Genomic DNA, 18,178 nt, shown 5'->3' with positions numbered 1-18,178 from the left:
AAGGGTGTGGTAGGCTGATAAATGGTCTCCTAAAGGATACCCATGCTAAATCTCTGGAACCTCAGACTGGGACCTATTCAGAAATATTGCATTTGGAGATGTCATTAAGGATCTGGAAATAAAATCATCCTGGATTATCCAGGTGGCCCTAAATCCAATGGCAAGTATCCTTGTGAGAGACACACAGAGGAGAAAAGACACACAGAAGAGGAGGAGATGTGGTCTCAGAGGCAGAGCCTGGAGTGATGTGGCCACAAATCAATGACTGCCAATAGCTGCAAAGCATGGAATCCCCTCGAGAGCCTCCCTAGGGAGCACAGCCCCTGTGACCCCATGATTTCAGACTTCCCATCTCCAGAACTGTGAGAATCAATTTCTGTTGTTTTAAGCCACCCAATGGGTGGTAATTTGTTATGGCAGCCACAGGACACTGATACAGGGGCAAGAGCACTGAGGGAGAAAACTGTCCCAGTCGGCCCTGACTGCTGTCTCCCAGCATGGCTCAGTTGGTGGCAGCTCTGAACCTGGTGGGTGTGGGAAAGCCCTTTATCCTGGGATGGGACTCATGGCCCCAACTTACATTGCCTACAGTCCTGAGCAGCAGCCCATGTAACGTGGAGGAGTATGAACTGTCTTTCCTTCTTCCCCCAGGCCACAGGGGCAGAGTGCTGCACCTGTCTTTGAGTCCAGACCAGACCCGGGTGTTTTCTGCTGCAGCTGATGGGACGGCCTCTGTATGGAATTGCTACTAGCACCCAGCCCCTCTAGGTTTCAGTTTCCTTATTTCTGAGTGAAGATGATGATGTTGGCTATGTCTTCTCCATGGGGTTTTTATGAGTATCAAACAAGTTGAAATACTCTTCTTGATGTGAATGCCTGTTCTCCTGTTCTTCTTTTGCAGATTGCTTTACTTGCTCTGCTTCCCAGAGATCCGCTTCTTTTCTTCTCTGCTTTCTTCTTTCTGCCCCTCTTCCTCCCCCTCCTCTTCTTCCTCCCATTCTTACCCCTTTCTAGAGATTCATTTTCACTACTTTATTCAGAATAACATCTATAGCAAAGATTTCTACTTCTTTCCCGTATGACTTTTCTCCCCAGCTCCAAACCTCATATTTCTGATTGCCTCAGGATAGTTCCCTTTTGAGATACTTTCCTGTCTTTAGCTCAATCTCAACACATTGAAAACACAACTCATTCACTTGAAAAACACTTACTAAAATCTCACTATATGCTAGGCAGTATGTTAAGCATGCATATTGCTCTCTCTAAAAATCAGTTCTGTAGGAATCCCTTTCCCCTCCTGATGGTCTCATCCTTATCCTGGTCTCCCACTCAGGGAACCTCCTGATTATTCTGCTCTGTGCTTCCTCAGTTCACCCTTTGCTCTCTTTTCTTTTGCTTCACCTAGTCACATCCTGTGTGCCTGACAGCCAGTCTGCTGTAATTGTCTTAGAACTGATCCTCTTGACTCCACACCACTGCTAGGTTGAACATCTAAAAGTCCTGTGCTGATCCTCTCAGTCCCCTGCTCATCAACTCTCAAGGACAACCTATTACCAAACACCTTTGACCTCAACCTCTGGAGTCCTCAGCCCAGGACTTGAAGTTAGGAGATCTTTTTTTGCCTTGGCTCTGCCATAAATACACCCTGTAACCTTGGATGTGTTGCAACATCTGCAAGGATAGGAATTTGATCACTGCTAAGGTTCCTTCAAACTTGATCAGTTCGCTGTTCTGTCTTTTGAATGTTAATTCACATTCATCTCCTATATTAAGACTTTGGCTAAGTCTTGTGATTTCTTGCCTTATTGGAGCTTTTCTTCTAATCTGAATTCTTGCTTCTCTCTCCTTTTCCTTTACACACCCACACAAGTCCTAACCTCTCCAGGAAGTGTTTTGAAATGATGTTACCTGGGTTTGAGTTCTTGGCATTAGCCTGTATCATCTATTTGGTATTATTATACTATTATAGCTGTTTAAAAAAATCTTTTATTACTGTTTGAATCGTTGGTTGTTTTGTTTTAACATCCTGAGGAGTTTGAATTGAGGGCTTGAGGGAGCATGCGTTATATTTTTTGGTGCTCCTTCATATGTTCTGCATATGCCAGATATCAAATATTGGTTGATTATTTTTTTTTGCTTTGACATGAATTTTTTTTACTAATACATACCTATTCCCTATGCCCCCAAAATCAACACAACAAAACAAAAACTTTAAGAATTCAAAAGTAGAATATTATATACCAGGGGAGTTTAGGACTCTTCTGTTAAATTAGTGTTAATTTGTCAATATATATTTTTATTTTTCCTGTTTTTTAAATTTAGATCTGTTTGGTAATGTTAGTAATTCTTGCCTTAGAAAATTTTAGGCCACTGAAAGCCACAGATGTGATAGTTTTCTGCAATGCACACTCTTCTTTAATGGTTTTAATTTGATCTTCCTAATATGCCAGGTATTACCTGTAAGAAAATGTTTAGAAGAAAATGAGCAAAATGATTAGACCATTTCCAGTGTCCCCTGCCATTCTGTTCTGGATACTTCTGTTTTAATACTCTCATGACACTATGTCATGACCAAAGAGCACTTCTCTCAATTAATACTGGCATGTGAACAAGAGGCTCTCATTTAAGAAAAATATTAATATATCTGTTACTACAATTAGTTTTGTTGGGAAATTTGGAATATGGTTTTCATAAAGAAAAAGGTAAGCTTTCAGATAGCACACAAAAGCCTGGGCTACAATTTATTTTTAAATTTTGTAATTAAAATTTTTTCACAGAATAATAATTCACATATAGTAAAGCACATAAGTCTTTATAGCTTGATGAGTTTTAAATTTATGAATAAATAAGTGTGTAACCAACATCTAGATCAAGATACGAACATCTCTAGTACCCTAAAGGGATCCCTCGTACCCCCTCCTAGTTAGCAGCTCTACATTTTTCTGACTGCTATCCCCATGGATTAGTTTTTCCTTATGCCAACTTTCAGATAAATGGAATCTCATCATGCATATTCTTTTTTATCTCACTTTTCCTCAACATTAAATTTGTGTTGCATAAAACTGAAGTTTGTTCTTTTTCATTGCTGTGTAATATTTTATTGTATGCCTGTGTAACGTTGTTTATCCATTTTATTGTGTGTGGATATTTGAGTTATTTCTAGTTTTGACTTCCAAGAATAAAGCTGCTGTGTACATTCCAGAACACATCTTTGGTGGATAAAAGCACTCATGTGTGTTTGGGATCTACCCAGGAATGGAATTGCTAGGTCATAGGTTTATATATATGTTGAGTTTTAGTAGACACTGCCAATTTTCCTATGAAGTTGTACTAATTTACACTTCTACCAGCAATTAACAAGGGTTCCATACAACCATTTTTTAAACAGAGTTCAAAATCTGTAATACATATTGACAGTAGGGAATATTCCATCCTCTTTTTGCAGTTAAAATCCTAACTAGCAATGAGGGATTGTAGCAAGTATTTAAAATATCATCGTAGTTACTCTCTCAGAGCCTCTCTTTTATATAGTAGCACCAGATCTCCTTTTCTAGTATAAGGGTTCTTATCCCTGGCTGCATATTAGAATCACTGGAGAGCTCATACAAAGAATACTACATCCTGGGTCCCACCAAATACCAATTAAATCAGAATCTCTAGAGGTGGGACCTGGGCATTGGTAATTTTAAAGAGCTTGGTGAGTCTAATGAACTACCATGGTTGAAAACGAATTTACTATTATTTTAGCCAGTCTTTGAGCTATGCTCCTTCCTTTGTTGTTGGTTTTTTTTTTTTTTTGCACTTTATTTTAAGAGCCTGTCTCTTTGTGTTGCTGTATGTTATTGGTTTGAATATGTATTATCCATGTATATATGTGTGTGTATATGTGTATATATATGTGTGTATGTGTATATACATATATAATATATGTATATATTGAAATTTGTATTACATAATATATAATATACATATATAAAATTTATATTACTAAAGGGACTATAGAAATGGAAAGAATCTGTTCACATAATCACATCTTGAAATGACTGCAGGCTGATGACTACCTACTAAATTCACTATGTTGAAAAAATATTATGACGGTTTTTTCCAAAGAAAACTTTCTGGCTACAAGTCAACACTCACTCCCTACTATGGGATGGCAGCCACTGTAACCACCATGTTGATTGGATCTACCCCGTCTCAAGAACAAAGAGAACTGAGAAATCACCTAGGTAATCCAAGGCTTAAATGCAAGGCACTGAGAAAGAAGGCTGACTCTCTATTGTATAATTTTCTTGGCTGCCCAAGCACTTTATTTGTATGCCCTAGAATTTGGAAAATACCGTAAGGCATTGCTTGTTTCTTTTTCTCCCATAGACTCAGGTTCTTGTGTATAACATGAAAAGCAGGTGTTAATGTGGAACAATGCCCTATATTTCCTTTTAACACAAATGTTCCAGACTGGCTGTTTCTGTTTCCTGTGGAATTGTGGAGGCCTTTACTGCATTTGTTATTAGACCTGATCTTAGGGTTGTTCTTGCTGGATTTCATGGAGACAGAGAGATGAATAATTCAGGAAGCATTCCCATGTCACTTGACGCACAAATGACTCTGGTGACATTGATCACGTAATCCTTGCATTATCTACAAGGCTGCCATGTAACTCTGCTTCACTTTGCTGGTGCAGATCTGCCCACTAAGGTTACAAGAGAGAAACAGGTACAGTCATGCAAATTGATTTTATTTGTGAAAAGATTAAGAAGCCACAGTAAATGAAAGGAAACGGTTATTTAAACTGCTCCCTTGATAGTCATAATTATCCAGTTGAGGTGTTTCTTTGAGAGAAGAATATAGACACCAGGCCCACGAGGGTCTCCGCATTTATTTTCAAGGCCAAAGGAAGTGACCCCTCGGAAAACACCCTCGCACAACAAAGGGCTTCCAGAATCTCCCTGGAGGAAAACAAGAGGGGTAGGGTGTGGGGTCAGTGTTCAGCATTACCACTAGTGAAATGGAAGAAATTCTGCAGCATTTAATATGCAGTTAAGACCAACCTTGACTTAATTGAAGATAGTGCTTTAATTTTAAAAATTAAAATGTTTGGAAATATTTTAATATTTTTGAATTGGTTCACTTGGTTTATTTATGAGCCAGTGAAAATCGAAGTGAAACTTGTACATGTTATCAGCTAATTTTGAGACTATTGCTCTGCTTTTGGAAAGGAAAGTCTCCTGTTTATTTGTCGTTTTCTCAAAATGCTTAATAACTCAAGGGGCAAAATAGTCAAATGCAGATGATACATTGAAGCAAAGAATAAACACTATGTTTTGTGGTTCTTCTAGCAGATAATTGCCTTCCAAAAGAAACAAAACCAAATCAGTCCCTTTCAGGCAAAAGTTGGCCTTATAAAGATATGAAATAAAGAACCATGTTGGAACCCGGGATCCTCCCTGAACAGGTTTATTTCCCCTGCCTGTTACAGTAACTGGCATTTGCAGAATTAGTCCTTTAGGTTTAATTCATCAATAGCCAATTCCAGGGTGTTGAGAGAACAGGCAAGGATTGCCAAGTTTCGGTGGTGGCGGGTGGCTGGTGGGATGGGGACTAGCGTCTTGGGATGCTGCCGTGGCCTTAGGATGCTGCATGTGGGTTCCAAAAGCATGAAGGTTCTGGGTTCCTGGGAACCCAGGGTGGTGGACAAGGGAGGGAATGGGGGAACTAGGGCAGAGAAGAGAAAGTGGACAGGTACTGAAGACAAATGTTTTCTTTTCCTGGGATTTGGCTAGCTTTGGTTCTGAAAGCAAGACATAGATCTAGGGAAGGACAGAGACCTTTGGATTTCTCAGTCTCTGGTAACTGCCAAACCATGCATACTGCACACCCTTCTTCAGGTAAGGCTCTATAGGGTCTTTGGGACAAATGAGAAATGCAAGGTAGTACTCAGTTTAAAAATCTGCAAAATGTTTCTTCTATTCTCATCTTTAAGCATGGCCCTATCCCACCTCTTCTCAGGGGGTTCTAGGATGGAAGCTTACACATTTTCTGGTATGAGTCATGCTTTGAAGTTTGCTGCAGATTAAACTAAGCTCTAGGAAGCTATGGGGTCTGGCTGGAAATATTCAGCCAGGCTTGACAGACATTTCAGACATGCCGATGTTAAATGGCAGAGGAACGTAGTGGGGAAGGAGAGGGAATGTACTGAAATGGGGAAAGAGTACTGAGTGGCCTTGAGGAACCCTGACTTCAGCTCTCATAAGTGTTGTATATCTTCAAGTTTAGATCTACGTATGTTAACATGAAAAATGAGACCAAACATTGCTTCTTAGTAATTTTTGTAAAAAATCAAAAATATGTAGTAGGTCACCCCATGCACTAGCAGTGAACTTCTTATTTTTGATTAATGACTCACTTGAGCTGCGAGCATTCATTTATTTGACTGGGGTTTTATTAAACTTATTTCAAAAAGCTCTAGGATCCTGTAGAAGCCAGTGCCATGACAAAACAAAGCATGACATTACATTTTCTCTGTCTGCATGACTTAATTCAATAGCTGAAACGTGGGATCTTATTTTACTTACATTGCACGAGTCTCTTCCACCTCGGAGGCTTCCAGCACAAACCATATTCATTCCAATCACAGGGTTAAAATTATAGTGATTTCGATCATTGCAGACTTTTCTGTCTATGATGGTGATATTGACTTCTCTCAGAGTATCGGACCAAGATGCACTATTGTGAGTCCTGCCCCACCCTGCAACTTGGCACATGGTTCCTGGTTTCACATCGTCCCCCTTTTTAGGTAGATGAAGGATAGTCACATATTTGTTAATTTTTGCTTTTTCCATCAGCTGTTGGAAGAAAAACATAAAGTGTTAATGGGATAAGATAAATATTTACATTTTAAATTATAGTCCAAAATTTCAGGATCCTCTTTATTGTGAGTTTTTACAACAGGGGCACCAAGGAAAGGTTTTCACGTCGGCGGCCAGATTGTAGAAGGTTCTATGACTTTTGAGAAGACAATCAAAGATACGTACCTGTAAAAGTTTAAGGTCACCTTCGCGTGTGGCTGGGTCATAGCATGGATAGGGAAACTCTTTCTTAACAAGCATTATCTGTTTTGTTGGCTCTTCCCTGGTTATTGAGTGAGCCCCAAGAATGACCTGGGACCTTTTGTTCCTGAGAACAGACACAACATTATTTACTGGATTTATTCTTTGTATTGGCAGTTGAGCATATATACTGATCAGTTTCATTGTCCCATTTGTAAATATGGAGGTGGGGAGATTTCTTTGTGGCTCAGAAAGAAAATGTGTGCTTTAAAGAATAAAAGAATGTTTATGAATAAAAGAATGTTTATGAATTTATCGTCATCATCATCATCACCAGCTTATTTATAAAAAGCTAAACTAGGTTCATTGAAAAACAAGAGAATTCCATGGCAGCAAAGCCAAGTCTTGTGCTTATCTGCCCCCTACCCCTGCCTTATTTAGCTGTGATGGAGAATTACTTATTAGCTGTGATGGGAAGCAAAGATCTCAGTAGTCCAGAGACAGAAGCAAAAAGCAGCCAATAGTTGTAAAGTAATGCACTGAAGGGATCTTTTCAAGAAAACAACAAACTCAAATGGGAAAACTTTCAGAAACAGATTGCCCCATGGAGGACCCTATTTGCTTGGCATTGAGTGTGCTTGGCATTGAGTGTGTTGAAGGGATGGTGGTCTGAAGGAGGGGTCCAGGAGTCTTTTTTTCTCTTAAAGGTTCATTTTGGTTATCAAAATCAAAATGCTTTCTGATGTACTGATGATTGGATTAAGGCTATCATTCATAACCTAGTATAAACTACACCAACCAGATTATGCACACTGCCTCTTTTCCATTACATCAGCTGAGATTAGTCTCACTTAAATGGTCACATGTATCCCCAACATATGTGCAACTATTATATGTCAATAAAAAGTAAATAATTAAAAAATAAAAGAAAAAGACCTTAGAACAGTGCTTTCCAGTAGAGCATATTTTTATGATGAAATGTTCTATGAATCTGCACTAGCCACATGTGGCTACTGAGGACTTGAAATGTGGCTAGTGCAACTGAGGAACTAATTTGAGATTTTATTTAACTTTAATTGATTGAAATTTACATAGCTACATGTAGCTAGTGCCTATCATATTGAATGGCCTAGGTTTAGAGGCTTGATTTAGAGAGTAGGAAAAGACCAGGCCTGGGAAGAGGTTTGAATGTAGTGGTCGACAGGAGTGAAGAGATGGCCAAAGATGTGAGAGGAATTCACGGAGGCATACAAGAAGGTCATTGGACACAAGCTTTCTGTACTTGATGGTTGCACCCAGGGCTCTGAGGGGGCACTGAAAGTTTCACCCTTCCATGCTGAGGCTAATTCTACCTGGTCACGCAGTCATGACAGAAGCAAAGCTCTGCAGCACCTGTACCCAATGGCTCAGTGGAGATGTACAGAAAGAGCTTGTGGATGCTGCTTCCTCATTGCCTGATTCTTTGTGGCAAGTGTGGGCCTAACTTCCTTTTAGGCTCAAGCAAGTGCCCAAAGACTTAAGCGATGTGAAGATACATATGAACCTCCCATGGCTTCAGTGGGATCTACTTTATTTTATTTTATTTATTTTATTTTATTTTATATTTTATTTTATTTTATATTTTATTTTATTTTATTTTATTTTATTTTATTTTATTTATTTTATTTTATTTTATTTTATTTTATTTTATTTTATTTTATTTTTTATTTTATTTTATTTTATTTTATTTTATTTTATTTTTTTATTTTATTTTATTTTATTTTATTTTATTTTATTTTATTTTATTTATTTTATTTTATTTTATTTATTTTATTTTATTTTATTTTATTTTATTTTATTTTATTTTATTTATTTTATTTTATTTTATTTTATTTTATTTTATTTTATTTTATTTTATTTTATTTTATTTATTTTATTTTATTTTATTTATTTTATTTTATTTTATTTTGAGATGGAGTCTCACTCTCGTTGCCCAGGCTGGAGTGCAATGGTGCGATCTCGGCTCACTGCAACCTCTGCCTCCTAGGTTCAAACAATTCTCCTGCCTCAGCCTCCAAAGTAGCTGGGATTACAGGCATGCGCCACCACGCCTGGCTAATTTTGTATTTTTAATAGAGATGGGGTTTCACCATGTTGGCCAGGCTAGTCTCAAACTCCTGACCTCATGTGATCCACCTGCCTTGGCCTCCCAAAGTGCTGGGATTACAGGTGTAAGCCACTGTGCCCGGCCTACTCTTTTTATTAATGTTTCCCCAAATTAGAGTATCTTTACAAACTTTTTTTTAAAAACCCAGGCACTTACAAGTTACAGTGAGCTGCAGTCAACACCCAGTCTTTTGCAATCAAAGCCCCAGCACAGATGGTTTTTCTGTCAAGACTAAGTAGGACCATGTAGGGTCTTGAATGAGGAGTTACTTCATTTCCTCCAATAATTTTTTCACAGACATCTGTTCAATGGAAAAAGACAAATCAGATTGGTGCTCACCCCCAAAGAGCTCTACACAAAGTCATGTTTCTAAGACCAGCCATGCTTTTTGCACTCAGAGAGGAAGTCTGGATGAGAGCATTTCCCCTGCTTTTACTCTATGTAGACCCGCAGACATCTGATGCAAATCCTATTCCTGTTGGACTCTAGGGTCCTGTTTTTCCACCCACAGAAGCGAGGCCATTGACTGTTCCAGGATCATTAGGCTGGATGTCACAAACCAGCAACCTCAGGCCCCAGGGCAGAAAGCTCTGCCTTGGTCTTTACCATCAACAGTTGCTGCAGGAAATGCCAGTGGTAGTGACAACCTCAAGTGCTCCCACCCTTTTTGGCTAACTATTAATTTGGGGGAAATAGATAAGACTTTTAGAAGCCTCATAACTTCCCTTTTAACCCCAAGCCATTGCAAAAATATAGCTTATGAACCGATATTAGCATCGTTTAGCTGTGACCCTACCCCTCAGTCCTTTGGTCATTATGAGACTTTTGGTTATTAAACTGCACTGTTCTCACTCATAAGTTAAGAAAATAACATCGATTGCACCTCCCCTTCAATCTCTAGACCAAACCATGGGGTTTAATCTAAGGTCTTTTCCAATGAGATAGGGAAGAGAAGAGAGAAGATACCATATGCCAAGAATTCTGCCTAAGTGACATTTCCTTGATGATAGTCTTGAAGTAGAGACCCATTGTTAAGGAACAGTGAGAACTAAACACAAGGCAAACCATACATGCAGATAGAGAGAACCTTATGTCTTAGTGATACACTCCGAGTGCTCCACCTCCTGCACCAGATGTTCTTGGATTCTCCCAAAATAGTTTTGCTGAGACTCATGGTTTCTTGAATAGGGCACAGTGCCTCTTGTTCCATAATTAGGACTAAGTCATTGCCAAATTCACAGGCAAGTATTAATGACAGCTATAGAAGCCTTTCGTAAGATTTGATGAGGGTAAGAGCAAGGAGGAGAGTGACCACATGAAATGTGGCTAGTGTGATTTGAAAAAGCAGAGGTCTCTGCTTTTAAAAAGGAAACTGGGAGGAAGAAATTCTAGGCTCTAGAAACAAAAGGGTAAAGAGCTTATAGAAACAAAAGACCTTCACCCAATCCCAATTTTCCTAGGGTGATTCATGTACAGATAGATTTCAACTGTGCCTTGCTTTGCTGTCTGTTCCTTATATGGGCCCACACTGCCCTCTCTGAACACAGGAAACAAAGAGGAGCACAGCAGGTTGCTTTTGTTGTTTTCCTTTGAAGAAAAGATATGGCTGGATTTATCTGCCCTGTGTTTTTCTGTTATGGAGGATTTAACATGCCTGAATATAGTCATACTATGCCCTGCTTATAACATAGCCAACCTTTGTCCCAAATGTCCTGCAGCCTTGTTATTTTTATATTTCTTCTCTCTCTCTCTCTTTTTTGTTTTTTTTTTGAGACAGAGTCTCGCTCTGTCACCAGGCTGGAGTGCAGTGGCACGATCTTAGCTCACTGCAGCCTCCAACTCTCTGGTTCAAGCGATTCTCCTGCCTCAGCCTCCTGCGTAGCTGGGATTACAGGCACGTGCCACCATACCCAGCTAATTTTTGTTTTTTTAGTGGAGACAAGGTTTCACCATGTTGGCCAAGATGGTCTCCATCTCTTGACCTTGTGAAACACCCACCTCAGCCTCCCAAAGTCTTCTCATATTTAGGTGCATAAACCAGATATGCACCTAAATATGATAAACCAGAGTTCTTTGGGAATTCCTGGCAAGGCAGGTTATTACATAAGTCCCTGCCTCCAAAAGCTGATGAATCCTGGGAAAAACCGTGGCTGGCTCCATATTGCCACAGCTTGAGAGTAGTCCTCACTTCCTAGCAGGTTCTTCAAGGGAAATCTAGAGCTCCCCAAGAGCTGTCACCCTTTCAGTGGTAATACCATGAATTATACAGCATTTTAACCCATGCATGCTCAACTCACACAAAAGCAGAAATATTGGTTACCATTTGGTAGACAAAAAATTAGCTTAATAAAAAATACTATAGCACACCCAAAGGGTTAATGAGGGAACTGGCCTCACGCCTTAATTTATTGCCAAAGAGTCTCTAGACCAGAGAAATAAGTATAAAAATTCTAATAATTCCTGATTCACTTTTGGTGTCTAGGTCAGATTTGTCTTAATTGTCTTTATCTATGCATTTTCTGCAGCAGGAAAGGCTGAGCTGACTAAGTTGCCACTATTCCTTTCCTGGAAGGTACTATTTGTTTTACGAACAAGAGAGTTTTGTTAACTCATTTTTACATTGTCCTTTTTGGCAATTTTCAAGTTACAAATTGGCAGCAATAAGCATTGGTGGTTCTGCTATCTTTTGCAAAATAATTATGAGAAGAAAAGATTTTTTTTTCTAAAATACAGACATATTTAAAATCCAAGAAAGAATGCTATTTAAAAAAAAAAAATAGAGACAGGGTCTCACTATGTCGCCCAGCCTGGACTCAAACTCCTGCGCTCAAGTGATCCTTCCACCTCAGCGTTCCTAGTAGCTGGGACTACAGGCATGTGCCATTGTGCCTGGCTAAACATTATAAGGCTTGGGGGAAAACATCTTCTTTCAGTATAGGAAGGTAATATTGCCAAAAGTTCATTGAAAGTCTGCTCCATTTTGCTTCATGGTCATAATGGAAATGAGAAGAATCAGTCTTACCTTCAGGAATTAGCAGGAGAGAAACGACAACTGAGAGAGAGGATGCCAGAAATCTATAGGAGTTCCTCATTGTGGCTGCTGTCCCACATCAATCAACCTGAAAATCTGTTTTCAGTTCTTAACTGCCTCTATCTATATACTGAGAGTAAAAAGGATGTGGTTTCCTTTCATTTTTTTTTTCAAGTTTCAAAGTTTAGCATTAGGAAACCAAATCCAAATAAGTGAGAATGGTGGATGATGGCTCACTGCCAGCAGGCAGGCTTTCCTTTGCTAGGACTGCTGAGGGGGGCGCTGGAATTCTACAGGGTAGGAGAGGGGCAAGGGACCTTGTTGCCATCAGAGTACACCAGGGAAGACTGTAAAGTGTCTCAGCTATGATTTTGAAGACGCTTTCATCATCTGCAATATTATCTGTAGTATCCATGACTGGAAACTCTCGAAGACTTAAATTAGAATTTTAATAAAAGTCCTCAAAATTGGTCACCAATCAAAATTCTTTCTAGCTGTCTCCTTGGGTTATATAAGAATTAGCAGGCCAAGTGCAAGCTGAGGACAGGAGGGAGATTTATTTACATAGAGGCTCCTGCCTGGATTTTCCTTCCCCACTTTGTGGTGAGTGTTTATTGTGCTCCTGCCTGGTCTGTGGCAGGTGTGGGAACATGGGCTGGAGGAGGGTAGGGGCTCTTGGCCCTTTTCAGCCCTCTGATTGTGCGTTCCTGATTGTCTAGTTTCACAACTTTAGATACTGAAAGTATCTCCGAGTTTCCCTCCCTCCCCGCCCCCCCCCGACCCCTGCTTCCTGCCTTTCTTCCTTACTTTCTTCTGAACAGGTTTAGGTGAGAAAAGAAGTGGGAGTCATTTTTGTTCCAATGTTGGGGAATGTCTCACTCTAAGAAGAGTCAACCTCAGTCCCTGGAGGAACAGTATGCAGTGTGCTTTCTATTTGAAATGAGTTCAGCTCTTTTTCTGAGCTGAGGATGTGGTCTCCGATACAATATACATGGTCAGATGTGCTGTCAGGATGTTGGGTACTGAACCAACCATCCCCATAGTTAACATCCTGATGACTTCAAACCTAGTGGTTACTTCTTTAGAAATCAAGTGACCTTAGAAGGGAGCCCTGCTGAGACCCCTGCATTTCTTTTTCTCAGATATTACAAGTGTATCAAAGGTTAATCATTTTCAGTAACAGCAGTGAGGACCCTGCTATTGGTTTTGGTGAGTAATTTTAGTGCAGACTTAAAAAAGTCAAATTGTAATTAACTACACCTACTGAAAAATTCTTAAAACATTGACAATTTTGTTTATTTTTATGTGAATGGTTGCTCTTCCATTTATGTTGACTTCTAACAACTTTATGAGACATAATTCACACACCATAAAGGTCACCCATTTAGAGTGTATGAGTCAATGGATTTTAGTATATTTGCATAGTTGTGCAGCCATTACCAGTACCATGCTGTTTTGGTTACTGTAGCCTTGTAGTATAGTTTGAAGTCAGGTAGCATGATGCTTCCAGCTTTGTTCTTTTGGCTTAGGATTGTCTTGGCAATGTGGGCTCTTGTTTGGTTCCATATGAACTTTAAAGTAGTTTTTTCCAATTCTGTGAAGAAAGTCATTGGAAGCTTGATGGGGATGGCATTGAATCCATAAATAACTTTGGGCAGTATGGCCATTGTCATGATATTGATTCTTCCTATCCATGAGCATGGAATGTTTTTCCATTTGTTTGTGTCTTCTTTTATTTCGTTGAGCAGTGGTTTGTAGCTCTCATTGAAGAGGTCCTTCACATCCCTTGTAAGTTGGATTCCTAGGTATTTTATTCTCTTTGAAGCAATTGTGAATGGGAGTTCACTCATGATTTGGCTCTCTGTTTGTCTGTTATTGGTGTATAGGAATGCTTGTGATTTTTGCACATTGATTTTGTATCCTGAGACTTTGCTGAAGTTGCTCATCAGCTTAAGGAGATTTTGGGCTGAGATGATGGGGTTTTCTAGATATACAATCATGTCATCTGCAAACAGAGACAATTTGACTCCCTGTTTTCCTAGTTGAATACACTTTATTTCTGTTTCTTGCCTGATTGCTGTAGCCAGAACTTCCAACACTATGTTGAATAAGAGTGGTGAAAGAGGGCATCCTTGTCTTGTGCCAGTTTTCAAAGGGAATGCTTCCAGTTTCTGTCCATTCAGTATGATATTGGCTGTGGGTTTGTCATAAATAGCTCTTATTATTTTGAGATACGTCCCATCAATACCTAGTTTATTGAGAGTTTTTGGCATGAAGGTTGTTGAATTTTGTTGAAGGCCCTTTCTGCATGTATTGAGATAATCATGTGGTTTTTGTTGTTGGTTCTGTTTATGTGATGGATTATGTTTATTGATTTGCATATGTTGAACCAGCCTTGCATCCCAGGGATGAAGCCAACTTGATCATGGCGAATAAGCTTTTTGATGTACTGCTCGATTTGGTTTGCCAGTATTGTATTGAGGATTTTCGCATCGATGTTCATCAGGGATATTGGTCTAAAATTCTCTTTTTTTGTTGTGTCTCTGCCAGGCTTTGGTATCAGGATGATGCTGGCCTCATAAAATGAGCTAGGGAGGATTCCCTCTTTTTCTAGTGATTGGAATAGTTTCAGAGGGAATGATACCAGCTCCTCTTTATACATATGGTAGAATTTGGCTGTGAATCCATCTGGTTCTGGACTTTTTTTGGTCGGTAGGCTATTAATTATTACCTCAATTTCAGAACCTGTTATTGATCTATTCAGAGATTCAACTTCTTCCTGGTTTAGTCTTGGGAGGGTGGATGTGTCCAGGAGTTTATCCATTTCTTCTAGATTTTCTAGTTTATTTGCATAGAGGTGTTTATAGTATTCTCTGATGGTAGTTTGTATTTCTGTGGGATCGGTGGTGATATCCCCTTTTTCATTTTTTATTGCATTTATTTGATTCTTCTCTTTTTTTCTTTATTAGTCTTGCTAGTAGTCTGTCATTTTTGTTGATCTTTTCAAAAAACCACCTCCTGGATTCATTGATGTTTTGAAGGGTTTTTTGTGTCTCTAGCTCCTTCAGTTCTGCTCTGATCTTAATTATTTCTTGCCTTCTGCTAGCTTTTGAATTTGTTTGCTCTTGCTTCTCTAGTTTTTAGCATTGTGATGTTAGGGTGTTGATTTTAGATCTTTTCTGCTTTCTCTTGTGGGCATTTAGTGCTATACATTTCTCTCTACACACTCCTTTAAATGTGTCCCAGAGATTCTGGTATGTTGTGTCTTTGTTCTCATTGGTTTCAGAGAACATCTTTATTTCTGACTTCATTTTGTTATTTACCCAGTAGTCATTCAGGAGCAGGTTGTTCAGTTTCCATGTAGTTGTGTGGTTTTCAGTGAGTTTCTTAATCCTGAGTTCTAATTTGGTTGCACTGTGGTCTGAGAGACAGTTTGTTGTGATTTCTGTTCTTTTATATTTGCTGAGGAGTGCTTTACTTCAAATTATGTGGTCAATTTTAGATTAAGTGCGATGTGTTGCTGAGAAGAATGTATATTCTATTGATTTGTGATGGAGAGTTTTGTAGATGTCTATTAGATCTGCTTGGTGCAGAACTGAGTTCAAGTCCTGGATATCCTTGTTAACCTTCTGTCTCGTTGATCTGTCTAATATTGATAGTGGGGTGTTAAAGTCTTCCATTATTATTGTGTGGGAGTCTAAATCTCTTTGTAGGTCTTCAAGGACTTGCTTTATGAATCTGGGTCCTCCTGAATTGTGTGCATATATATTTAGGATTGTTAGCTCTCCTTGTTGCATTGATCCCTTTACCATTATGTAATGGCCTTGTCTTTTTTGGTCTTTGTTGGTTTAAAGTCTGTTTTATCAGAGACTAGGATTGCAACCCTTGCTTTTTTTGCTTTCCATTTGCTTGGTAGATCTTCCTCCATCCCTTTATTTTGAGCCTATGTGTGTCTTTGCATGGAGATTGGTCTCCTGAATACAGCACACTGATTGGTCTTGACTCTTTATCCCATTTGCCAGTCTGTGTCTTTTAATTGGGGCATTTAGCCCATTTACACTTAAGATTAATATTGTTATGTGTGAATTTGGTCCTGTCATTATGATGCTAGCTGGTTATTTTGCTCGTTAGTTGATGCAGTTTCTTCCTAGCATTGATGGTCTTTACAATTTGGCATGGTTTTGCAGTGGCTGGTACCAGTTGTTCCTTTCCATGTTTAGTACTTCCTTCAGGAGCTCTTGTAAGACAGGCCTGGTGATGATGAAATTTCTCAGTATTTGCTTTTCTGTAAAGGATTTTATTTCTCCTTCACTTGTGAAGCTTAGTTTGGCTGGATATGAAATTCTGGGTTGAAAATTCTTTTCTTTAAGAATGTTGAATATTGGCCCCCACTCTCTTCTGGCTTGTAGACTTTCTGCTGAGAGATCTGCTGTTAGTCTGATGGGCTTCCCTTTGTGGGTAACCTGACCTTTCTATCTGGCTGCCCTTAACATTTTTCCCTTCATTTCAACCTTGGTGAATCTGACAATTATGTATCTTGGGTTTGCTCTTCTCAAGGAGTATCTTTGTGGTGTTTTCTGTATTTCCTGAATTTGAATGTTGGCCTACCTTGCTAGGTTGGAGAAATTCTCCTGGATAATATCCTGAAGGTTTCCTAACTTGGATCCATTCTCCCCATCACTTTCAGGAACACAAATCAAAATGGTCTTTTCACATAGTCCCATATTTCTTGGAGGCTTTATTCATTTCTTTTCACTCTTTTTTCTCTAATCTTGTCTTCTTGCTTGATTTCATTAATTTGATCTTCAATCACTGACATCCTTTCTTCCACTTGATGGAATTGGCTATTGAAGCTTGTGCACGTGTCACGAAGTTCTCGTGGTATGGTTTTCAGCTCCTTCAGGTCATTTAAGATCTTCTCTACACTATTTATTCTAGTTAGCCATTCGTCTAATCTTTTTTCAAGGTTTTTAGCTTCCTTGCAATGGGTTAGAACATGCTTCTTTAGCCCAGAGAAGTTTGCTATTACTGACCTTCTCATGCCTACTTCTGTCAACTTGTCAAACTCACTCTCTGTCCAGTTTTACTCTGTTGCTGGTGAGGAACTGCGATCCTTTGGAGGAGAAGAGGCTCTCTGGTTTCTCCCCATCTTTGTGGTTTTATTTACCTTTGGCCTTTGATGTTGGTGGCCTACAGATGGGGTTTTGGTATGGATGTGCTTTTTGTTGATGTTGATGCTATTTCTTCTGTTTGTTAGTTTTCGTTCTAACTGTTGGGCCCTCAGCTGCAGGTCTGTTGGAGTTTGCTGGAGGTCCACTCCAGACCCTGTTTGCCTGGGTATCACTAGTGGAGGCTGCAGAACAGCAAATATTGCTGCCTGATCCTTCCTCTGGAAGCTTCATCCTAGAGGGGCCCCCTGCCTGTATGAGGTGTTTGTCAGCCCCTACTGGGAAGTGTCTCCCAGTCAGGCTACATGGGTGTCAGGGACCCACTTGAGGAAGCAGTCTGTCCGTTCTCAGAGCTCGAACGTCATGCTGAGAGAACTACTGCTCTCTTTAGAGCTGTCAGACAGGGACATTTAGGTCTGCTGAAGCTGTCTGCTGCCTTTTGTTCTGATATGCCCTGCCCACAGAAGTGGAATCTAGAGAGGTAGTAGGCCTTGCTGAGCTACAGTGGGCTCCACCCAGTTCGAGTTTCCTGGCCTCTTTGTTTACACTGTGAGCACAAAACCACCTACTCCAGCCTCAGCAATGGCAGACATCCCTCACCCTGCCAAGCTGTAGCATTGAAGATTGATCTCAGACTGCTGCTCTAGCAGTGAGCAAGGCTCCGTGGGTGTGGGACCCACCGAGCCAGGTATGGGAGGGAATTTTCTGGTCTACTGGTTGCGAAGGCCATGGGAAAAGTGCAGTATTTGGGCAGGAGTGTACCATTCCTCCAGGTACAGACTGT

At 39.7% G+C, this 18,178-nt stretch overlaps 2 protein-coding genes across 4 annotated transcripts in view; one reads left to right on the top strand and one right to left on the bottom strand.

The window, feature by feature from the left end:
* Positions 1-1,999, top strand: part of CDC20B (cell division cycle 20B) — a 60,207-nt gene extending 58,208 nt beyond the window's left edge. For all 3 annotated transcript variants that reach the window (NM_001145734.2, NM_152623.2, NM_001170402.1), the window contains one exon: positions 652-1,999. In NM_001145734.2, the coding sequence (NP_001139206.2) occupies positions 652-752 (101 nt within the window). In that variant the 3' untranslated portion in view covers positions 753-1,999. The remainder of the gene's footprint in view (positions 1-651) is intronic.
* On the bottom strand, positions 4,718-12,324 carry GZMA (granzyme A). The gene is made up of 5 exons (NM_006144.4): positions 12,218-12,324; positions 9,352-9,496; positions 7,035-7,176; positions 6,576-6,845; positions 4,718-4,949 (listed from the first exon to the last, which is right to left on the bottom strand). Exons 1-5 carry the CDS (start codon positions 12,285-12,287, stop codon positions 4,788-4,790), a joined length of 789 nt encoding a protein of 262 aa, NP_006135.2. The 5' UTR covers positions 12,288-12,324; the 3' UTR covers positions 4,718-4,787.

This window comes from Homo sapiens, chromosome 5, assembly GCF_000001405.40.
Source record: "Homo sapiens chromosome 5, GRCh38.p14 Primary Assembly".
Classification (NCBI taxonomy): Eukaryota; Metazoa; Chordata; class Mammalia; order Primates; family Hominidae; genus Homo; species Homo sapiens.
This window is presented reverse-complemented; position numbering and strand designations above follow the sequence as displayed.

Coding starts and splice junctions, on each gene's coding strand:
- GZMA (NM_006144.4), bottom strand. CDS start 12,287: ATGAGGAACTCCTATAGATTTCTGGCATCCTCTCTCTCAGTTGTCGTT. Junction 6,846..7,034: donor GTGACCTTAAACTTTTACAG/GTACGTATCTTT, acceptor TTCTTCCAACAG/CTGATGGAAAAAGCAAAAAT. Junction 4,950..6,575: donor GTGGAAGAGACTCGTGCAAT/GTAAGTAAAATA, acceptor GTTTTCCTCCAG/GGAGATTCTGGAAGCCCTTT.